At 37.5% G+C, this 25,661-nt stretch overlaps 1 protein-coding gene across 4 annotated transcripts; it reads right to left on the reverse strand.

The window, feature by feature from the left end:
* GYPB (glycophorin B (MNS blood group)) lies at positions 242-24,434 on the reverse strand. Of its 4 annotated transcripts, none has more exons than XM_011531904.4 (6): positions 24,305-24,434; positions 7,625-7,748; positions 6,239-6,337; positions 4,465-4,503; positions 2,594-2,688; positions 242-314 (listed from the first exon to the last, which is right to left on the reverse strand). In XM_011531904.4, exons 2-6 carry the CDS (start codon positions 7,632-7,634, stop codon positions 294-296), a joined length of 264 nt encoding a protein of 87 aa, XP_011530206.1. In that variant the 5' UTR covers positions 7,635-7,748; positions 24,305-24,434; the 3' UTR covers positions 242-293.

Below are 25,661 nucleotides of genomic sequence, written 5' to 3' on the forward strand. Positions count from 1 at the left end.
TATTGTCTCTTCAAAAATGTAATATAGTTTTGTTACAGAAAATTAAGAAGCTAGAAAAAAAGTATAAAGAAAAAGACAAAAATTAGCTATAATCCCACCAAGTGAAATTAAGCTCTATACATATACTGGCATCTCCCCCATCCCACAGCCCCCTCACCCACAGAAAGAACCTTTAATGTAGAACTGTCTGCAATCTTTTAAATATGCAACAAACACCATTCCTCGTCATCAGACCTACCAGATTTTATCATGGTGTGACTGTAATGTCTGAGGTTTCTGAAATACTTTAGAATTTATACATTCAAAGCAGTCACCTGGAGAGGTAATAACATTCATTTATTCAAATGCGGATGTTGAACATAGCAGATTTGTGACAATCTCTTACTGCTCACTTAGGGGAGGCATACAGCATATGACCATGGCCTGCTCTACGTCCTGTTTTTAGGATGGGAGAAAAGAGACCTCAGACACTCCTTCTGACTCCAAGGGTAAGGCAGTCAGAATGTATCTGGTGTGTACTAGAAGAGGAAACGTGCTGCACATTGGGACCCCAGGTCCTTTGGTTTAACCTGTCCTTTCTGAGGCGTGGGCATCCTGGAGTCCCTCAGAGATTTCTGACCCAGCCATCTCAGTAAGATCTGCTGTGTTCTGGAGGTGATGAGTGCTCTCCAGAGTTCATTTGAAAGTCAGGCCCTTCTCTACGTGCTCCTACCCCTGTGCCTGTCATTCTCTTTACTGTTGAGGAGGGACCTTAACTCCTGGCAGGTGAACTATAATTAAGATCAATGGATACTAAAGTAAGCCTATCAAAAATCTGGTTTTTGACAAAGATTTGAATAGAATTTGGTCCTTGCCCTCAAGGATCTCACAGTATGATAAACTTGTCTTTGCTTTTTAAATTACAGTGCCGTTTCAGCAGTCAGGCACCTTGGGTACTTGACTGAATCTTGTTCTTTTCCAATATATTTCACATGAGACTTCATGTTATCTTGGACAACCACCTAATGAGAGTCCAGGCTGAAGTCTTCATTCCCCTTCTGCATGTTCTCCGCTGTTGGCTTTGTTCAGACCCTTCTTTCTTCTCATCTATCCTACTGTAATGGGCTTTACATTTTAAACATAGCTTGAAATAACAAATCATGACTATAATACATGAAAACGGTTTGTATTTTGTTTTATTTTTATTTAGAAGTAGAGAATACAGTAATAGTGAGGCAGGAGAACAGGGAATTAGGATAGCCAGGGGTAGGGGCATAAGCAAAGGAATAGCAGGTGCAGCCAGTTTGCATAAACAAGAGAACAGCAGGTGCAGCCGGTTCTAGGCAAGATCAGGCAGCATGCAGGCCACATCCTCATGCCTGTGATAAAAAGACAAGAAGTTTCCACTTCAGCCTCTGCTTGACCATGAGCTAAGACTCCACTTCAGCCTCTGATTGGTCACAGGCCAATCCTTCACAGGCTGTAGCCAATTGGAGGCTTCTAAAGGGTACCTAGGGGTGTTGCCAAGTTCTTTTGGTTTTATAAAAACCCTAATTAGGGCCGGGCGCAGTGGCTCACACCTGTAATCCCAGCACTTTGGAGGCCAAGGCAGGTGGATCACTTGAGGTCAGGAGTTTGAAACCAGCCTGGCCAACACAGCGAAACCCCATCTCTGCTATTAAAAAAATACAAAAATTAGTCAGGCATGGTAGCCCGCACCTGTAGTCCCAATTACTGTGGAGGCTGAAGCACGAGAATCACTTGAACCAGGGAGGCAGAGGCTGCAGTGAGCAGAGATTGCGCCACTTTGCACTCGAGCCTGGGTGACAGAGGGAAACTCTGTCTCAAAAAAAAATTTAAAAAACTTTAATGATTCAAAAAAAATCACTGATGTTAAGAATTCATGGGTGGAAATTTGTAAAATCTGTTTCAGAACATGTGAGAATTAAGAAAGGCAAAAGTTTTATTTTATTTTTATTTATTTATTTATATATTTATTGAGACATGGTCTCACTCTGTTGCCCAGGCTGGAGTGCAGTAGCATGATCACAGCTCACTGCAGCCTTGATTTCCGAGGCTCAAGCAATCCTCCCACTTCAGCCCCCTGAATAGCTGATACTACACATGTGCACCACCAAGCCTTTCTAATTTTCATATTTTTTGTATAGACTAGGTTTCACCTTTTTGCTCAGGCTGGTCTCAAACTGCTGAGCTCAAGCAATCCTCCTGCCTTGGCCTCCTCCAAAGTTTTAAACATATGTAAATATATTATTTTAAATATTTTTTACACTAATAGGTTAAATACTATAAGAAGAATCTTAATATTTCCTCAATATCCATCAAAATATGTGAAAGCAAGTTAGACAAAAACTTAGGGAGATCTTTCATTGGGAAAATGGGGGACAGACTTATATTTAGAGGTTCCCTTTAATTGGGCAAATGCAAAAAAAAAATTCTGCTAGAGAAACACAGTGACTTCTATGTGTCCAGTTGAAAAAGATGGAATTTTATGCAGTTCTGTTTCTCTTCTGAGTTTAACTGAACTCAGAGGAATAAACCCTCCTAGAGCTGTTCACACTGGTATTTAGAGCAAAATTAAAAACTGAATTCTCACCTTTATCAGTCGGCGAATACTGTAAGAAATTAAGAGGATCGTTCCAATAATACCAGCCATCACACACAAAATAATGAGTATTATCACTACAGGAGCTAAAGAGAGCAGCAAAATTATGAAAGTCTGAAATAAATGACCACATAGCAATAGAAAAATAAGACAGATAACATCAGCATAACATCACCTTGCCTTTTAATACAAAGTACAGTTAACATACTATTATGTGTATTTTGTCTTTTTTTAAATTGTGTGCTTTACAGTAACCTTGTGGGAAACTGGGACTGTGAGTGATCAAGTCTTTTGTCCAAGGTCGCAAAATAGTTGATGACAGAACTAAGACCTGAGGCTTCTGATTCCAGACCCAGCGTTCTTCACTAGTGTAACTGTAGATAAGAACTCAGTGGACGTTCTCCTCAGATATGGGGAAAAAAACCCACAAATTCTCCCATAGTTTGGAAGTTATGAGAGAAAACAATGTCTTAACATATAAAAGAGCATTGAACAGATCATAGAATCATAATTTTGGAAAGAAACTGGTATAAACAGTTTACAAATGAAGAAAAGAAGCTGAATAAGGTTAACTTAGCCTTGGTCAGACAACTAGTTAAAAGTAGAATTATAACTATAATGCAGGTCATCTATATTCTAAGCTTTATTCCTTCCACAGTATTCTTATGCATAGTCTCCAATATAGTCACTAACAATGCTTGTTAAGTCATTTATATGTTGGGAATGAAACAATTGAAATCAATTAAGTAAGAGATATTTCCATATTTATAGCATATTTGTAGTACTTCCAGATGAAGTAAATAGAATGGAAGGCTAGACATACAGGTAAAATGGCTCATTTATTTGCCTAATTAATATTTAAATTATTCACAAAAAGTAAAAGTAGCATTTCCTCTTGCTGGTGTTGCCCAGCCTTCTTGACCACTTAGCTTGAATGTATGCGATAGTGATGAAGTTCTATGATGTGCTTTTTACCCTGTGAGCCATGGACACGGCCAAGTGTGAAGGGAGGGTTAGAATGCAGAATAGCAAATGAGCACACACAGTGATACTCAAGTGAGGGGAAGGGATGTCCCTTCAGCAGAGGTTGTCAAGATGGTCCCTAAGTGGTTGCATTGGGCCAAAAATGAATCAAGGCTGAGATTTACCCTTGAAATACAGTACCAGTTAATTAGATGATTTTAAATGCCTTGCTTTTTACATGAGGGCAGAGGGAACTTCACTTGTTTTATAAGCTCTTATGAGGCTTCTTTCAAGTACTCAGGGTTGGTTAGAAAGGTAAAACATCTAACTTAAGAGAAAAACTATTACCAAATTATGTATTTCTATTTCCAAATGTTTTTATTTATTTTTATTTACTTATGTATTTGTTTTTGAGACAGGGTCTTACCAAGGCTAGAGTACAGTGGCACAGTCATAGCTCACTGCAGCCTCAAACTCCCAGGCTCAGGCAATGGATCCGATCCTCCCACCTCAGCCAGCCTCCCAAGCAGTTGAGACTACAGGTGCATGCCCCATCCCAGCTAATTTTTGTATTTTTTGTAGAGATAGATTTTGCCATATTGCCCAGGCTGTTCTCAAATTCCTGGGCTCAAGTGATTAGCCAGGCTTGGCCTCCCAAAATTATAGGGATTATAGGCATGAGCCACGGCCCCTGGCCCCCAAAATGTTTTTAAAAATAAGAAATGCCTATTTTAATTTTAAAAAGAGAATATTTTCTTTGTCTTTACAATTTCGTGTGAATAAAGTTAACAACATATGCTCTTCTGTTTTAAGATAGACACATTTTCTTAGGCATTTGAAACAAGCAATGGATAGTTTAAAATGGAATGACTTTTATTCTTTGTCAAATATTAACATACCTGGTACAGTGAAACGATGGACAAGTTGTCCCGTTTCTCCTATAAAGCAAAATTTCAATGTAAGTCCAAATAAGAAAGACATGTGCAAAGAAAAAAATCATTTTGGAATCAAACTGTTCTGCGGGTTTCCTTTTCTTAATCATATTTTGAGAGTTGTTGGTCAACTTTCAACATCTAGCTAGTAACATTTATGAGGTAATGTGTCAGTCTTACCATTAGTAATTTCAGTATCTACTTTTAATGACCCAACACGTATTCATGGATGAGAAATAAGCAAATTGTCTCATAACTGAGGGGAAAGGAATGAGAAAGTATTGGAAGAATCACTTATTGACTTACACAAGAAGCAATGCATTTTTAAAACATGTAAAAAATAATGAGAAGAAAGGAGGCATATGGAGCCATTACTCCACAGAGATGCCAGTCCCATGCAAAGAAGGGTCATGCGGCTATCAATTTTCTGATTTATGCCATAGCCACTGTATGAATCTAAACTGTTACTGTGTCTCATTTGAGCTTTTGCCAATAGTCTCTCTGGATTCTATGTCAGTAGCAATTGATAGTATGGTTGCCTTACTGTTCCACCTGTGCTAACCTTCCCTCTCAGTCCACATCCTACTTTTGTCTCTGTCTCCACTTGCCATTTTATGTCATGAAGCTCTCTTATACCAAAGCCACACAATTTTCTAGAGTTTAATTATTACAAATTACTTAGTATATGCTATGTTGTTTGATGATTGAGGATTCAGGTATATTTTTTCATTCTTTAGGCTTTACGTACAAAGGTTAATTGGGGCTTGCCTTCTCTTTCTTGGTCACAGTTAATAGTTGTGGGTGCTATATGGGCTTTGGAGTAAAAGAGTTGGGTTTTCTGTCACGAAAGTTTGAGAACTGTCATGAGTTACAGCTCGTGTAAATAGAGTTCAATCACAACAATGACTCCAGAGAAACTATTTAAAACTAAGAACATAACGTTTTTCTTTTCTGGAGGGGAAACAGTTGTAACAGAAATTTCTGAAACTTCATTAGCAGTATGAGCTGGACATGTGTCCCGTTTGTGCTTATCTGCATATAAGAGAAGTTGAGAAAGGGAACAAGAATGAGGTGACTGCGTGGACATACAGCGTATCATGAAAGACAAATTCTCCCACATCCCTCCCAGCAGCAGCTCCAGAATTTCTTCTTCTCCCCTGAAAACTAACAAGAGAGACTGCCACCAGATTACTCTTATCTCAGCACCCAGCTTTGCTTATTGTTTATCAGTCACTGAGAATGTGTGAGGCTCTGAGCTAATAACTTTTAGACACTTCTTCTTATTTAGCCTTTAGAGAAATGCTGTGAGATAAGTACTGTGTTATTGGCCCCATTTTAAAATTAATGGGATAGAAACCCTGCAGGGCAACTCACCCTGGGTCAGCAGCTGGGATAGAGCTGAGCCCAGGTCTGAGCTGAACTCATTTTGCCCACAGACCCTCCGCACCACCGCACTATTAGGTCCCCTTTATCTGGCCCACTATTTCATGGTCACATGTATCATTTCTGTGCTTTGCCACATTGTTTTAATTTCTTTAACTCACAGTATTATTTCTGTGAGATATTTCAGAGGCTAGAATTCCTCTGTAGTAAGAATTGTGTCTACTTAGTAGGCTGTGTCTACTTAGCTCGCATTTCTCAGTGTTTGTCAGTTTCTCTGCAGTGACAGGTCCCCTAAAATAGGGTTGCATCACAAAAATCATTTCGGAGCCACAATTTAAAAATAAAAATGAAAACAAACCATTTGTCTGTGATGAGATGTAACTCTTTGTGACTGAAGAAGAGGTTGAAGTGTGCATTGCCACCTCAGTGGTACTTAATGCTGATATGCTCACAATTTCTGTATAAAATAGAAGTTGAGAAAGGGATTAAGAACGAGGTGACTGAGCAGACCATAAAGCATATCACAAAAGACAAATTCCTCTCACATCCCTCCAGTCCCTGAGCTAAGCGCTTTAGTATATATCTTACATAATCTTTAGAGAATTGCTGCGTGGTAAGTATTGTATTATTGGCCTTATTTTAAAATTAAGGGGCCAGAAGCCCCTCCAGAATTTTTGTACAGCAGAGGTTTACAGATAAAGTGTGCCTTGGTTTTCTCATCTGTACAATAGTAATACTTGCCTCAAAATGTCATTGTGAGAACGAATTAGTTTAAATATGTGTGTGTATGTGGTATGTGTGTGTATGTGATGTGTATGTGTTAGTATAGTACTTGACACATAAAGAGCATTACATATATGTTGGGTATTATTGTTATTATGCTTATAAAGGGGTAACTTGAAGTTGCATTTTGGAAACTGTCTATGCTAAGAAAGGTGGAAGCTCATAATAATTATACAGAACAAAAGTTCTGTCCCATATCTCAGTGTCTCCATCTGCTAGGGACAATCTTACTTCTTCAATAAAAGTGGAAACAATAAGAAAACACTATTACATTGCATGAACCCAGGAGGCCGAGCTTGCAGTGAGCCGAGATCACGCCACTGCACTCCAGCCTGGGCGACAGAACGAGATTCCGTTTCAAAAAAAAAAAAAAAAAAAAACCACACACGCAAACAGGAAATCAGAATGTAGATTCACAAATATCCTTTTAAAATCTCATTAAATAAATTGTGAATTATTTTTGTAATTAAACACTTTTTATTCTTAAATGCAATACATTTCAAATTTATAAGTTATTTTATAAAATTTTATAAATTCTTTAAATTGCAAAAGTAATATAGATTCAATAAAGAATATTTGGGAACTACAAGAAAGCACAAAGTATAATATAAAATTCATCTACAGTCAGCTGATGCAATGTTGAACATTTGACACATTTTGATATATAGCCATCTGAACTTTTAGTTGTTATATGTAAATATGGGATCATGGTGTTTAAATATGTGTGAATATGTATATAATGTTTACAAGTCTGACTTTCTACTTAATATGCCACAGATATCCCTATGCTGTCAAATATTCTTCTATGAGAAGATTTTTATGACTGCAGAGTATTCCATTGTATGAATGTTCTGTGGTTTATATTTCAGTCTCCTATTCTGTGCATTCATGTGTTTTTCACTCTTCTGAGAGTTATAAATCATTATGATAAACATCAGTACCCTGAACTCTGTAGATGTACCTTTGCTCATCTCTTGGAGACATTCAAATGAGGGGAATGGCACCCAAGTGCAGTGGAGTGGAGGTGGAAGGGCTTCTTCTCAGAGGCAGCCAACTTGGCCCCTCAGCTGAATGCTCAAAGTTTCCTGGAGAGCACACAAATAACAGAAAACATCTTCTCTGACACCTCTCATTAGTCTACTCAAGGGAAGAGTTCTAAAACCTTTCTCTATTTATCAGCTGATAGGTAATCAGTTTACCTCCAAATCATGGAGAAGACATGATCTATTGTTCCTAAACTGTCTATGTTTTCTCTTCTCTTTTAAGTTCTTTTCTGGCCTTGCTCTTTAACTTGGCCTGCCACCTGATTCCATCATGTGTTTATAAACGATTGCCATATGAATTCTCCAAATAGCATGCAAAACAATTACTGAATGTTTCTAAGTTGTTCAGCACTCAGGTATAATGGCTTTTAAGATAATATAAAAATGAATGCTTTTAAACAATAATCTGGTGATAGGGATTTTGAAGTTTAACAAATTTTAGGATTAAAATTACAGAAAGACATTTTTATGAGTCAATTAAAGTATGTAAAAATTATTTACAAAGATAACTAATGAACAAAAATAATCCATCTCTCTTAATAAATGTTAGATATGAGCTTTGGCTTATTTCTAGATAGATGAAGGGTTTGAAGCAGTTTTTTATTTAGGGAAAATCACTGTCAGTAGTATGGAGGATAACTTAGGGGAAAAAAAACATGCGGGAGCTTTGCAGTAGAGGGTCCCATCTTGTGTTCAAGAGTGGCCAAGATAAGCAGTCCCTTTGCAAACAAGCCACTTCTGCTCACAGAAGGTCCTTATCACTTCTTAACATTCCTTTGGTGGAGAAGCCCTATAGCCTGAGGCTTTAAAGGGGGCAGAAAATTACAGCAGGTTGTCAAAAGAATATGGCAAAGAACCAACAATGGGAGCTAACATCTCTTAAAATTGGCACTTTCATTATTTTAATTTTAAATGAAGTCAGAGAAGGTGAAAAGTATTTTAAATTTTTAAGCAAAGTATATGTAACTTAAGAAAATGAAAACATGCTTAGGGAGAGAGAGCTTATTTAGATAAGTTTTGAGCTTTATCAAAACAATTGTTAACACTCTAGCAAATAGGTAGACTTCTTTGTTCTTCAACAGCTACTCCTCACAGTAAAAGAGCACTTGGTGGAAATTTTGTACCGAAATGAAGGCTGAAACCCCAGAGATCAAACACTGTACTCAAGTTTACAAAGCTGGACTCAGACCCTAACACTGGCTTTAAAATGTGTCCTAAGTTAGACCATAATGCCTCTCTTTCCAGCTGGATCTACATGCCTCCACTCTGGCTTTTAACAAGGCTCTGAACTATTGTCAGAACTTGGGAATTTCTAACATTGAAGGTAACACATTGACACAATTTCCTCAATGTAAAATTGTATACACTTTATCCAAGTCCCATCTGGGCATGTTATGTCCTATTTGTACCCTTACAAAAACTGGTTGGTGGCCAAATTGATTTGAGACTGAAAGTTGCCACTTATGTTCTTAGAAATACTTGCTTTAATTCACCAGAATCAGTTGCTCTGATACAACTTCTTATAGTCACCTAAATCAACACAGTAAGAAAATAAACATATAAATGCCCTAAAGATAATTTGATAAAAATTGTTTTTTATATCATTTCCTCAACAATCTCATAATGGTAGCTGACCTATAAAATGATCTTTTTCATAGTTCATTTTTCTTCCATTTCTGGAAAAAAGATAGCATAAGCCTTTCAGTAGGAATTAATACCCATGCTTGCTTAGTGGTAAGAGGAAGGCACAGAGGCTTGCTATTGGAAGTCTATAGTTTACAAAACAGTGTCATCTTGAAGGAACAATAGTTCCCATAAAAATGAGTTTTCGTATTTTCTAGTATTAATTAACTTTTAAATAATTTGGTAGTTATTCCAGAATAGAATCACATGGGGGCAATTTAAAGAATTTCATCAATACCTTCAAATTAAATAAACCAGCATCTGGTTGAAAAAAAAAAAACACTTATCTGGAAGGAGAAACCAAAGAAACATCCTTAAATGCTAAAGCTTCATTCAAAATTCAAGGTAAGGAAACCAAATTTCCACAATATGATCCCTTAAAATCACCAAGAATGTTCAAAACTACATTTGATAACAACAGCTCACACAACTACTTGGCTCTCCTAGATTCCTAAGACCCTAACCAGCTAATAGACATCTGTGGACATATTCAATTCTGCAAAGCTGCAAAATATCTGTGAGAAGCTGGTTTTTGAATAGGACTTTTTACTATAGCTATATACTATTTAGTTCAGTAAACTGGGTAGAAAGCATTTAAGCAAACTCGTAACCATTGAACAACAAACTTTAGTTTGCCAAAACTGCTTAGGGACTGGATTAAGGGAAGGCTCTCCTGTTATTTTTATCTCTTTGCCTTTGGAGCTCTCAGCTTTCTGTAGCTAAATTAGCTTTCAAAAATCTACTTGTGTCATTCCTAGATTAAAGGTCAGTTTAAGTATTGCCCTGTTGAATTCAGAAGGTACATTTAAGCTAGAAAACCACTTGCAGCACATCTAATCCAAATTGCCGACTTTACAGATAGACATTTGGTCTCATAAAAATTAAATGACTAGCTCAGATTAGCATATCTGGTAAGCAGCAGAACTGAGACTTAATTCTGCTGACCCCCAATATTAGTCTCACCTTCCAGATCTCGCTGCCTGGTTGAGATGTTGTCAGCAAGATTTCTCTAATGTTTTAGTATATTAGTCAGCAAGCATTGGGGCATATTGTACATACAAAAAAGGACAACTAAATTCCTGAGCTCCCTGGACATCCTAAAAGCTAGAATTTTAATAAAAACCATGTGGTCTTCATTTTGATGATTTTTTTCCACACTAATTTATTGTATTACTTAGATTATATCTCTTACCCCTCAGTGTCCTTATACCATAGCCGCTATGAGAAATTATATTTTGCTCTAGCAATGCTGAGATGAGAGTCAGTTTCTTAACCCCTTCACATCTTCTGGCAGGAACACATCCAGTCTCTACCTGAAAAATTTCACTTCTCTCTCCAAGTGAAGTATATTTACCTTGTGGTGTTATGAAAGATGTGTCCAGCATCTGGCTACCCAGGAATAGACAGACCTTGTGCCAACACTGCACATTTTCTTAGCTGCATGGGCCTCTGAGAAACATACTCTCAAGACCTTACCCCATGCCTACTTGCAAATGTATCACTGGATGAACCCTGAAGGATGGGCAGAGTTTTAGGTGAAGATGCAGAGGAGGAGGGATAAAGAAATAGCATGGGCTAACATATGGAGAAAGGGGAGTATAACATGCATTGATGTGGAGGCTTAGGTCACCTAGCAGGCAAGTGTTGGCAAATCTCTCAGATTGATAAGAGTTTAATGATTAAGTGGCAAATTAGTGCAAAATAAAATACAAAGGTATGTTTTGTCATATTAGTGAGGCCTCAAACTCCTACTTTAAATTTATGTTTTTCAGTTTTCAGGCACTGAAATGGCATTTGCTATGGTACTTAGTACAAAGTAAATCTGTGTGACCTGAATTGAATTGTATAATTTAGGTTTGAGAAGGGTGGAATGAATTGGTATACTTTCTAGAAAATGAAATATTCAAAATTTGTGTTTGGCTCATCTCACAGCTTATACTTGTATAACATCGGATATGTTCCAGAACATTTCACCTCTCTTGTCTCTTATCCCCATGTGTTGGGGGAGAGAGCATGGACTTCTGCCACTGTTCCCATTGTACCAAGGAGGTGGGGTGACTTGGGGGCCCAAGACATGTTAGGATAACAACTGGAAATAGCCAGCCTCCTAGCTCTCTGCTATATGCTTTATCTACCAGACCACTCAGCTTTCCCAAATAATTGACATTTCTAACCTGGAATGCTATTAGAAACAATAAAAATAAAATGTGATATTGTATAAGTACCCTTCAGTTTTGCTGTATGCCAAAACTTCCAGTGGCTGAGCTCTCATCAAGATGTGATAAGCTGCTGGTTTGAGTTTTGGTTCGCTCCTGACTTGCAGCTGAAAGAAGCCTTATCTTGCATAAGCAAACTCTTACAAGGACACACCCTTCATATGAAATGCCTTAAATAGTTTCCAAGTCTGAAAACTAAATTTTCTAAATGCTACAGTTTTTTGACATTGCAATGACCATGAAAACTACTTGATAAATGCATCTGTGGAAGTTATGCTCAGCTAATTTGTGGTAAAACTGGGACAAAAACTCATATCCATTGACTTCCAACTCAATGCCTTTTCTGCTCAATCTCATTGTCTTGGACAGAATTAACGTATAAATGGGAATCTTGCCTGTGCTAAAAGATGTTTGAAGAAGACTGTTCCCATGAAGCAATATTTTAAGGGAACGATTTTGTTTGGCTCTTGAACCAAAGGATTGGCACGTTCAATCTTGGTCAAGTTGTGATAATATAGTTAGATACCCATACTGTCTGTGGCCATTCATTTTTCTTTTTTGGAAGGTTTTTATTAAGCCAAAGCAGCCAACTACAATTTAGAAAAATTGAACTTAAGGATAAAGTGCTTTGTGTGATAGCATCTGAGCCTACTGTTTTGGATAGCCTATTCTCAATACTTTTTATTTGAACTCTTCAGCCAATGGCTCTGGAGAAAAGCGTGGCCTATTAACTGGTGCAGTTAGTGTGCTAGGTGCCAAATGGAATGAGCCAGTTTCTGCTCATCTTCAGACTGGCGTGCTTTGGCAGTCCCCATACAACTAATTGGTAACACTTCTTCCTTTCCTAACTTGGTAGAGAAGGGTGCTGTATTTATTCTATCTCGAAGGTGTTGTGGCCTAGGAGGACTGCAGCTTCCCTTCAGGAAGCCTGAACTTTTTATCCTGGCTCTGTACTATCCAGCTTCTGGTCATCCACACTGTCCCAAACCATTGCTGAGACAGCAGAGGTGGAGAAAAAAATCGGTCAGTCTGTCATTCCAGCCAGTGCACATTCTTCAGCCTGGACAGATGGAAATCAAGATGAATTTCTGTCCACTGTCCCAGTGGGAAAGGAGAGCAGAGTTCTATTCCTGGCTTTGCCATCAAATGGTTGGGGGATCTGTGAAAGTCTCTGAAATTATCTGAGCCTCAGTTTTCTGGCCTCTAAGATGAGAGTAGTGGAACAGATGTCTCTCTTTTTAAGCTTTAAAAAAAGTTTTGCTTTTTTCTTGAGATAGGGTCTCACCATATTGCCCATACTAGCCTCAAACTCCTAGGCTCAAGCAATTCTCCTGCCTCATTCTACTGAGCAACTGGTACTATAGGTGCACACCACCATGCCTGGCTTAGAATGGATGTCTTCTAAGATGCTTCACCATTCATGAATCATGGAAATCTGTATGTCTAAGATAATAATATTTGTAGTTAACACTTACTGCACACTTACTTCATTCCACACATCTCTCTAACCATTTTTAAAACAACTAGCTGAGACCCTATTGTTAGATGTTAATTATTCTTTGTGGAGGAGGAAAAGAAAACATCAGAAACATTGCCTGACTTGCTTAAGTTCACACAGCCGCCAAGTGGCAGAACTGGATTTTGAATTCAGACCTATGTAACTACAGAACTGTCTGCCAAGGTCTACTGTGATCTATGTAGCAGAAAGAGAATGAGGGAATCAAGTAAGTTGTCATTGAGAGATTAAATTCTCACCAAATTATAATGCAACCAACTCTCAAGCAAGCCTTCACTTCAGCAAATCAGGGCTAAATGAAGAGATATAAAGATAATAATTCACCTTGTTTATAGCCTGAGGGTAGGAGTGTTGTACCTCTAACATAGCATTGTAGGGTGACCTGCAGTGGCAAATCCACATTACGGAAGAGAAGATGGTTCTGGTTATTAACAGTCTGTTAAGTTGAATCTTAATTTTTCCAGCCAAGCATATTCCAATCTGGTCACTCCTGCCTACTAAAGAATCCTCAGAACAAAAGGGGATTTCACATATTTTACCTGTGTCCACTTTAGTCTAAGATATTGGTATTTCTGTAGCTGAACTTCACACACATTAAATTTGGGCTTAAGGAAGTTGGGCTGGATGAAAATAATTTCAATTGAAAAGAAAAACTTTATCCCAAAGTTCTCACACCACTGGTACTTCCTTTCACTGGTTGAACAATACAAAATTGCAGAAATGAAACTAGTTTGTTCTCATCCTTGACTGCATGGTAGAATCATCTGTGATATCCAGGCATTGGATTCTGATGTGCGGCCAGCAGTGAGAACAACTGCTCCAGTTGGTAATATAGATTAATATATGTAAACTTCATCTTCCTGAGTTTCGAGGTCAATTCTTACATTTTCTATGGTTCTAGCGTCACCTTTATCTATAAAGTGAACAGCTACAGTATGGGATATTAGCCTGAACAACTTTAGAAATAACATCATTTGCCATCTTAAATGTTGGTGTTTCTTAGGGTTTTGTTTCCCTCACTTCCAGTCTCCCTCACTTCCTCCCTCAATTCACATTTAATTTTACTTTAATCACTTTCCAAGGATAAGCTCATCAGTGTGTGAAACAGACAGAGTTGAACTGCTTGGTGGAAGCTGGCCTGAGTGTTTGGCCTGCAGCCTCACAACCTGTTCCCATCTCCACCTGGCAGCTTCAGAAAGCTCCACAGGAATTTAGATTGCAAATCTTTAGTCTAAAACTTAAGTTTTTCAAATTGTCTGTTGAGATCCCTTAGCACAAGTATTAGTAAACTTCCTATGTAAAGGGAGAGAGAGTAACTACTTTAGGATTTGTGGGCCACAACTACTTTAGGCTTTGTGGACCATCTATTACAAATATTCAACTCTGTCACTGTGCAAAAGCAGCTACAGACAATATGTAAACCAAAGCATAAATAAATGAGTATGACTATGTTCCAATAATGATTTGTGGGCAGTAGAATTTGAATTTCATATAATATTCACATTATTATTATTATTTTGATTTTTTTTCTTTCTTTTTTTTTTTTTTTTTTTTTTTTTTTTTTGAGATGGAGGCTTGTTCTGTCACCCAGGCTGGAGTGCAGTGGCCCGATCTCCGCTCACTGCAAACTCCGCCTCCCGGGTTCACTCCATTCTCCTGCCTCAGCCTCCCAAGTAGCTGGGACTACAGGCACCCGCCACCAAGCCCGGCTAATTTTTTGTATTTTTAGTAGAGATGGGGTTTCACTGTGTTAGCCAGGACGATCTCGATCTCCTGACCTCGTGATCCGCCCACCTCAGCCTCCCAAAGTGATGGGATTACAGGCTTGGACCACTGTACCCGGCCTATTTTGATTTTTTTAAGCACTTAAAAAAGTAAAAATCATTTGTAACTTGTAAGGTATACAAAACTAGGGGGCCAGCCGTTCACAGGCTATAGTTTGCTTGGCCCCTGTATTAGCATAACTAGAATGTCTGGATGTGAAACCCAATCATCAGTGCTACATAGATTCTCTGAGAAAATTCTAACCTGCAGTCAGGATGGCGCATTCCTCTACTAATGGGCTATGAAATCAGTCCAGTGGGTTGTCACTGGCACTAAAAAATTAAGTTGTAGTCTAGGTGTGGTGGCTCATGCCTGTAAACCCAGTGCTTTGGGAGGCCAAGGCAAGAGGATCCCTTGAGGCCAGGAGCTTGAGACCAGCCTGGGCAATATAGCAAGACCCCATATTTACAAATTAAATAACAAAAAAATTAGTCAGGTGTGGTTGAGCACACCTGAAGTCTCAGCTACTTGAGAGGCAGAAGCTGGAGAATCACTTGAATCCAGCAGTTCAAGACTGAAGTAAGCTATGACTGTGCCGTTGCAGTCCAGCTTAGGCCACAGAGCAAAATCTTGTCTCTAAAAAAAATTAAGTTGTATAAAATGGAGAGAATATATCAAAGTACATCACACAGAATTAGGGAAGGTATTATTTTGTGGAATTTTATTTCAGACAAGTGTGTGTGTGAGTCTGTGTGCTGTGATTTGTAGTGCACATTAACTATGTCTCAATAATACTTGATTATGTTTTGAGCCTGATGAACCTGGTTATACCCTATCTGAATACCTGGCTGCCAGATCAATAGCGTATGACATACCTGAAATGCACTCACGGCCCGCACAAGCCATTGACCAGTGGCTCATGCACACCTTTATCCAGCTTATCTAGCTCCAGAAAGTCTAAGACTTTCTATGTGTGCTGCACCACTAAAATGGGAATTCTGAGAGAGAATGCTTTCAAAAACATAAAGTTAGCTAATGGGACAATTACAAGTAGGCTGTATACTTTAGAAACACATGAAAGGATAAGGGCAAATAAAACATAGTATATATATCAAAAGAGCAGAAACAAGGAATCATATAATAAAATATGAAATAGGATAACAGAAATAAGATACTAAATGTCAGTTGTGAATTAATGAATGCATATGGATTATGGTTTTGTGTTAAAAGACAGAAACTTTTAGATTGAGTCAAAAGAGATAGGTTAGGACTGGTGCAATGGCTCATGCCTGTAATCCCAACATTTTGGGAGGCTGAGGCAGGTGGATTGCCTGAGCTCAGAGTTGGAGACCAGCCTGGGCAACACGGTGAAACCCCGTGTCTACTGAAATACAAAAAATTAACTGGGCGTGGTGGTGTGCGCCTGTATTGTCAGCTACTTGGGAGGCTGAGGCAGGAGAATTGCTTGAACCCGGGAGGCAGAGGTTGCAGTGAGCCGAGATCGTGCCACTGCACTCCAGCCTGGGCGACAGAACGAGACTCCATCTTCAAAATAAAGCAATAAATACATATAAAACCAAACAGGAATAACCATATTAATCTTAGGCAAAGTAGAATTAAGAGAAAAGACATTACAAACAGTGAAAAAGATTTACTTGTGTCATTAAGCAATATATTTCACAATGATTCTTAAGTAATTATGGACCATTATAGCCCAATAATATAGCAACGAGAAACATAAAGCAGAATAAGAAATTGGCAAAAATACAATACCATTGAGAAATTTTAAGTTTTCTCCAATTGTGATAGATCAAGAAAGCAAAAAACAAACACAGAAAGGATCTGAAATATATCTGCTTGCAATCACAAGCTATTGATTTATATGATTTTTTGCTAACGAATCAATAAGGACAGATTTTATTAGGCATTCCCACATTCCCATACACTCATTTTGAAAGAACATTTCTGTATTTCCTGATACAATGTTTTTGAAGTCTGAATCTAGCAGAATAGTTCAGGAAAGGTAGCAAGGGGAGAACTTTTGTGGTCTTTTTCCTAGCAAAATGCAATTTCAGTGCCATGATCTCTATTCTCAGTTGCCTCAAATAGCTGTACTATTCATGTTTTATGTTTTGTATTTATTTCCTTCTATTTTGGTTTTTAAAAATATAATGATGACTGGGAAATAAGTGATAACATCAAAAGGAGGCCTCCAGAATTTAAAAACATTTTCTATAGCCCATATAAAAAGGAGCAAAAGGCTAACATAACAGCCACACAGTTAGAGTTCCTTAGCTGCACCACGTGAGGAAGACAGACCGTCAACCTTCATTAAAGTCTTCAGCTTGGTGAAAGCACAAGCAGAACACTGAGTGACAATGTTGTAAGAGTAACGGAGCCAATCCTGGAACATCACTAGGTATGGTACAGGCAACATAACATATTCTCCAAGTGCACAGATTCTGCAGTGGAACTGCCTAGGCTCAAACTAATTCCTCTAGCAACTACCTGAGACCTTGCAAAATTTACTTAATCTCTATATTTTTGTTCCATCATTATACATGGATTAGTCTCTACCTTATAGAATTATTGAACAGATTAAGTTAAAATGCGCATAATTTTTTTGCAAGAATGGAAAACCTAATCCTAAAATTTCTGTGAAATTATTAGGGATCTAAATAGCCAAAACAATCTTGAAGAAGAACACAGTTTGGTGAATCATACTTCATGAATGCAAAACTTATAACCAAGTAACAGCAATAAAATCTGTGTGATTTTGCCCCAAGAACAGACATATTCTTCGGATAGAATTGAGACTCCAGAAATAAACTCATATATCCATGGCCAATTAACTTTCAAGAAGGGTGTCAAGACCATTCAATGGGCAAAGGATAGTCTCTTCAACAAATGGTGCTGGGACAACTGCAAAATAATAAAGGTGGACTCTTGTCATACATCATATAGAAAAATTAACTGATAATAAACCAAAGATCTAAATATAAGAGAAGAAATACAAAACTCTTAGAAGAAAACATAGGGAGAAATTTTTATGACTTTAAATTTGGCAATTATTTTTAGATATGATATCAAAAGCGTAAGCAACAAAAGAAAAAAATAAATTGGACTTGAAAATGAAAAACATTTGTGCATCAAAGGACACTATCAAAAGTAAAAACAAAAATCTACAGAATGAAGGAAAAGATTTGCAAATAGTATATCTGATAAGACTCTTTATCCAGAACATAGAAAGAACTCTTACAACTTAGCAACAGAAAGACAAAAATAAATTTAAAAATGGGTGAAGGACATTTATGCAGCCAAAAAACACATGAAAAAATGCTCATCATCACTGGCCATCAGAGAAATGCAAATCAAAACCACAATGAGATACCATCTCACACCAGTTAGAATGGCAATCATTAAAAAGTCAGGAAACAACAGGTGCTGGAGAGGATGTGGAGAAATAGGAACACTTTTACACTGTTGGTGGGACTGTAAACTAGTTCAACCATTGTGGAAGTCAGTGTGGCGATTCCTTAGGGATCTAGAACTGGAAATACCATTTGACCCAGCCATCCAATTACTGGGTATATACCCAAAGGACCATAAATCATGCTGCTATAAAAACACATGCACACGTATGTTTATTGTGGCATTATTCACAATAGCAGAGACTTGGAACCAACCCAAATGTCCATCAATGATAGACTGGATTAAGAAAATGTGGCACATTTACACCATGGAATACTATGCAGCCATAAAAAATGATGAGTTCATGTCCTTTGTAGGGACATGGATGAAATTGGAAATCATCATTCTCAGTAAACTATCGCAAGAACAAAAAACCAGACACCGCATATTCTCACTCATAGGTGGGAATTGAACAATGAGATCACATGGACACAGGAAGGGGAATATTACACTCTGGGGACTGCTGTGGGGTTGGGGGGGAGGGGGAAGGGATAGCATCGGGAGATATACCTAATGCTAGATGATGAGTTAGTGGGTGCAGTGCACCAGCATGGCACATGTATACATATGTAACCTGCACATTGTGCACATGTACCCTAAAACTTAAAGTATAGTAAAAAAAAAATAATGGGTGAAGGACTAGAACCAACATTTCTCCAAAGATATGCAAAATGCAGTTACCAACAATTACATGAGAAGATTCTCAGCATCATTAGTTATTAGGAAAATGCAAGAAACCACAGTGAAAAACCACTTCATACCCTCTGAAATGGCTATAATTAAAAAAATGAAAAAGTACAATTTCTGGCAAGACTGTGGAGAAATTGGCACCTCATACACTCTGGTGAAAAGGTAAAAAGGTGCAGCTCCTGTGGAAAAGAGTTGAGCAGTTCCTTAGTAAGTTAAACATAAAATTACTATGACCCAGCAATTCTACCCCTATACATCTTTGAGTATTAAAAGTGGGTTCAAACAAAACTAGTACAGGAATATTTATAGCAGCACTATTCACATTAGCCAAAAGGTGGAAACAACACAAATTTTAATCAAATGATGGATCGATAAGCAAAATGTGATATACCAACCCAAATTTTCATCAAATGATGGATGGATAAACAAAATGTGATATACCAACACAATGGAATAACATTTATTATAAAAGGAATGAAATACTGATACACGCTACAATATGGATGAACTTTATTTTAGGTGAAAGAAGCCATACACAAAAGGCTACCTATTATATGATTCCATTTATATGAAATATCTAAAATGGGTAAATCTGTAGAGGTAGAAAACAAATTAGTGGTTTCCAGGGGCTGGAGGAATTGGAAGTGGCTGCTACTGGGTAAGAGGGTTCCTTCTGGAGTGATGAAAATGTTCTGGAACTAGATAATGGTGATGGGTGTGCATCATTTTGAATGCATTAAATGCTACCAATTGTACACTTTAAAATGGTTCAAATGGTAAATTTATATTACGTGTATTTTACTACAATTTTAAAAATTAAGTGTATGTAAATTGCTTAGAAAAGTGCATGGCACAAAGTAAGTGCTATATCAGTGTTGGTTATTATTATTCAGAACCTGCCTATATATGGAACCTAACCTGCTGTATATAAATCTAGGGATGGAAATACCAAAGTTGATTAAATAGCTGTTTATAGAACTTTGTACACTACAAAGAAAGATGACATCATTTTTCCAGTGCTTACATATAATAATTTCGGTTAGACAGAAATTCTTAATAAATGTCACAAATAGATTGTATAGTCATAGTCTATGACCAACGTACAAAAATTAAAGACTTCTTAGAAAGCAGAGATTGTGTTTGTTTGGTTTACTTTTTAAAATATATTAAAACTTGTCCTGATTATATTATATGGTTCTCTTTGCAGAAAATTTAGAAAGTATTCAAAATGAGAAAAAATAAATAAAACCTTACAATCCCAACACTCAGAGATAAGCCCGGAATTTTTTTTCAAGATTTTTGCTTTAGTTTTAGTTTAGTTCATTTATCACAGAAAACTACACAGATAGGTACTTACTAAAGATGTGGATATGATAATAATGGCTGGAAATCTATGATGTAAAAATGTAGGTCCAGCCTGATTTTGTCAGCACCATATAAGTATGATTGGGGTTTTTTTGAGCAAAAGATATTACATTTGCAGTTGGTGTCAAAATATAATCTATAAAGATAACTTGGGGGAAATTCCCCAAAAGTATACTTCTCAAATAGTCTCATAGATGTTTTGAATAATCTTCTAGAAACCAAGGTGAAAAGAAATTTATCACAAGAATGTGAAGCTAAATTTCCTAATTTAAAATCACTACGAAGTAAGTTTGAGATACCATCCCTACTTTCCCCTCTATTCAGACCTTTTCTGCAAAGGAGTTCACAGTGGGTGTCTGTTTCTTTCTAAAAACCCTATTTCACACCATGCTAAATATATTTACAGGTTTGGCAGCTAGTCCAGCTCATCTCAGGCTGAATTTTGGGGATTTATTGGGGTTTACAGATGAAAAATGATTGTAGATACCATCTACTCGGTGCTTGATTGAATAGACACAGGAAAACTGAGGCCCACAGGTGTTAAATGATTTTTCATGGCTAAACTAGTCTGCCACAAAATTCTGGTCATTTGTCATTTGTCATTTTGAGTAGTTGATATTGACTGCCTACTATGTGGCTGACAATGTGTGGGACACATAAGCGAAGACACAGGTTTGGCTTTTCAAGAATTTATAGTCATGTATTCCCTGGCATACAGTTCCTGTAACTCTTTCCTGTACCAATTAAATAGACAGCTAGCAAGGCTCTCTTCTTGGATCCCTGAAAAAAAAAAAAAAAAAAAAAAAAAAAAAAGAGATGCCTTGTTTCTTCACTTAACATGTGCTTCTCAGACTGATGTACCTGCAGGGGTATGAGTCAGATGCACAGGGTAATAATGATCTGTCTATGCGGAGCACTCACTGTGTCTAACCAGATGAAAACAAATATTTCCTCTTTCCTCCTCCCCTTCCTCCTGTCTCTTCCCTTCCCTTCTCTCTTCTCCCTTCTTGCCTCCCTCTCTCTCTCCCTCCTCTCTTCTTTCCTTCCTTCTTTTTTCCTTCTTTTCTTTCTTCCTTCCTCTCCCTCTCTGCTTCTCTCTCCTTCTCCCTCCCTTCACCTCCTTCCTTGCTTATTCAACCAATATGCTACTATAAATACCAATCGGGAACTGTGCTAGATTCTGGGAATACATGGATGAATAAAGTAGGCATGATGATATCATACCAGTCCCTTTGTTTCCTCCCATTAAATTAGTATGTTATGACCTAGAATGCAAATTTTATATGAATTTTTAAGTAAACACAAAAAGCTTTTGGAGACTCCTGGTTTATGCCATAATTTCCTAGTTGAAGTGATATAGTACTGTATTTTCAAATTGGTTCTTAGCTTCAGAATCTGATTTTCAGATAAAAGCTCCAGCTTTTCCTTGAAAACACTAACTTACCTCCTGTTTCAGAATTTTTGCTCTTGCTCTTCCCTCTGCCTTCTGTCCTCTTCTCCCAGAATTTTCAGGGTTGGCTCCATCTCCTTGTTCCACGTTTAGCATAAATGTCATCTACTCAGAAAATAACTCCCTGCTACCCTTTTCTTAAGCAGTTTTCGGCATTCATGTTTATCATCTTACCTGGTTTTATATGCTTTGTATTAGTTTTGACTGTTTTTATCTTATTTTAATAAGATAGTTGTTGTTCCATTTATTATCTGCATTCCCTCCCACCATCCACTGCTCCCACCCTCCGTGTATCCTCCATGGGAGCCCATTTTTCTTCCTGCCCTGGGCTCAGTGTCTGGTTCACAATCTGACATGTAATGACTGAATCATCAAATGAGTGCAGGAATTCAGGGACTGGGAATCAAGTCATATTAGAAAAAATGGGTTCTCCATTTGGAAGAAGATCTCTGGTAAGTTTAGAATTAGAAATATCGGCTTTATTCTTAAGATTCCTGGAGAAAGCAAGGCAATCGTCTTTTTTTCATAGCAAAAAAAAAAAAGAAAAAGAAAAAAAAAGAAAAAGACTTCACCATGTTTAGTCTTCGGCTAATCAGTATGGGGGAAAAACTTGATCTTCCACCTTTCTGTTATACTATAAAGTGGCCACATCCAGAGAGTTTCCTTGGAGGGTTTCTGCTACGAAGATGATAACAGCTTGGGTACTGGAGACCATTGTAGCTTTCAGGGTCATCTTGCCCCAGTGACCTCTTTATCAAGTGCCATTTAAGGCTTTAATTCACTATCTGCTTGTGTAGTTGTAGAAATTTAAAAAAAAAATCATTTCTTTGCCAGGAACCCTTTCCAAATTTGGGGCACTTGTAAGTCACACAGAGTTTTCCCAAATGCTGGGCACACCCCCAGTAGAGTACGCAGTGTCTAATTTTGTTTGAGCTACATCCAGTTTGGTTTGCCCCATGGAGCAACACAAAGAATACATCTTTTTTTCTGTGTAATAGCACTTCAAATATATGAATACATATACAAATATTACACTACATCCCTTTCATTTGTTTTCTTCAAACTAAATGTTTTCATACTTTTCTGCTTAAAAAATTAGAGTAGCTATGTTTGTTTTCTGTTTTCTTTCTGTAATTTTCTTGTCTCTCTGACTCTCAGAAATCACCAATCACATACGTAGGTTTGTTCCCTAGTCTATAATTATTGATAGCTACTAATTATTTTAATATTACTTATATTATTAATACTTATTAATCATGATAGTTAATTCTAATCATAGAAAATGCGTAGTACGCTTAACATTTTACTTTGTTTCTGGCATCGCTAAGTGTATTCCATTAAATATTTTGTTTAATCTTTATGCAATTATTATGAGGTAAGTACCAACATTGCCTGCATTTTAAAGACGAGGACACATAAAAATGTGGGCCCTTAATTTGCCTTAATGTTCCCCAGCCTTGAGAAGTAAAACTAGATTTGAACCCAGTTCTGTCTGTTCCTCATGCCTGTGCTCTTAACTATTGCACTATTTTATCCTCCCCTAGGGTATCTTAGAAAATGCTGATCTCTCTTCCCTGTATGCTACAGAGTGCTCAGTAGATCCTTGATACTTGCGCTCACTTGGGTTACAGCAATGTCTAATAGACTCAGAATGTTTCAAGCAACTGCCTGCCCCCTGTGTGCTGGGCACTAGTATTGCTAACACATAAGCACTGCACTTGAGAGGATGTTTAACTATAATATTCTCAGAAAGAGGCCAAAATCATGTTAATTTAAGACACTAAATTAATAATTAAATTTAAACTAAGTTAAATTCAAATTATTGAATTAATACAATTTAATAATGACCCTATGATATTTATTTTAATGGATTTAAATTTCTCCTAAAATTCACACGACACCTAAGCCAGTAAGAGTTGTTTTTGTTTTTTTTCTTCCTATGTGACACTTTAGTAATGGACCCACAGAGAAGCAAACAACTCCCCACGGTTTCAGTGTTCATCCTTTTGGCTTCTCACCATTTGGCAGAAATAGGAAATTACACCTTTTGAAAACTAAAAGCCATATAGCTACCAACACCTTTGTTAATAACTCTTTAGTTTGGAAATGAATCTCCTTATAACTCAAACAAAGCAATACATTTATTCACAGAGAGCTATTTCTCATAGCATTTGATAAAATTATTTTAATTCTAGCTAGACTTAGAATTGAAGTAAGCTTCTCATACTAGAAAACTGGATTCGGCCATAAATACTGGGCTCCCTTGTGTCATTTCCCCCACATTGGTAGCTGAGTTCCAGTAAAATCCATCCACCAGACTGGAAGAGGAAATACTACTCATTTATTGATTTAAATAAGATAGAACTGAAATAGGGTAGTTCATATTTTATTCTATGATCTCATACCCAATATAACAGAACCAAGATGAAATAAAATCACTTACCTGACAATAGTAATACAAAGATTATTTTTCCATACATCCTGAGATCATGAGCTGGTTCCTGAAGTTAGTGCAAAAAAACTACCAAAGACAACTGCAAGTGTCAGTGTCTGGCCTTAGCCTACTAGCTGTTATCTTCCAGGCCCACCTTCCTGCGGCCATCATCAGCTGATAGGCAGGGGAGGCATTTTAAATGATGCAAGTTGTTAAGCGCCTGTTAATAAAGATACATGGATATCTTGGGGCTGTGAAAGTGGTAAGTACAATTTTCACTGCAAGGAACAGGTGGCTACTTGTGATATTAACTTTGCATAAGTTAAATGGGCATGGTAAGGTGGTAGACAGGAGCCACCCAACTGGACAAAGAACTGGACTGTGAATCTCTGAGGCCAGGGCACGTGCCAGGCTGAGGTAGCTGTTGTGGAGCCATAGACCTTCTCATTTCTAATGTCAAGACCCGGTGGTCCAAATGAAAGTGACTTCCTATATGTGAAATGAACATATTTGAGAAATTTAAATCATTTGAGTGTTCTGAGGTTCTGCAAGACTCCCAAACTCATGGTGAGTCACACAGCAATGTAAGAGACATGAGATGCAACAAATCTTTCAGTGAAAATAGAGTTTGAACTGAAGAGCTAGTGCTGTGCAGCTATGAAACCAGTGAGCTGTTTCTGTCTGAAATATACCTTGCTAAGTAAGCATAAATGAATACCAAGACAATAAATGCAAACAGTCAGAAACAAAACCCAACAAACCAAAAACCTTATCATTAAAGTAGGTTAAAATGAAAGGTATGGAAATGTGAGGACATTAAAGGGAGACAGAACAAAAAATATAAATTAGATCTGAAATGGTTCAACAGAAGGTGACTGGATACTCCATCTAAATCATCTTACTTCCTGTAAGATTTTTGTGAAAGTCTTTCCTGCCTGACCCAGAAAATCAATTTGCTATGTAAGCAATTTGCCACATATATCATACTTACATATTTACCCAAAGTGTGGTTTAAAAAAATCATTTATGAAGTTAATGTTTGCAGCTTCAGGAAACTGGACCACAGAGAAAAAAAAGTATTTACTGGATAAAAGATGGAGATAAGTATCAGCAGAGCATCCCAGAGAGGGAGGAGCCTGAGATTGAGGCTCCTCTAATGGATGGAGGGAGTGGAGATGCAGACTTGGGAGAGACGGAAGAATGAATGACACAGACGGGGTAATCTGAGCAGCAAGAAAAGAATCCAGAGTGCCTCTTAAGGCCCTGCCAATTCATGTAAAACAACTGCAGCAAATTTTACTAAAAAGTTAAAATTAAACAATACATAATAATTTAACACCTTCCATAAAGTCAGTGTTTGTTATGG

The sequence above is a fragment of the Homo sapiens genome, chromosome 4 (genome assembly GCF_000001405.40).
Source record: "Homo sapiens chromosome 4, GRCh38.p14 Primary Assembly".
NCBI lineage: Eukaryota > Metazoa > Chordata > Mammalia > Primates > Hominidae > Homo > Homo sapiens.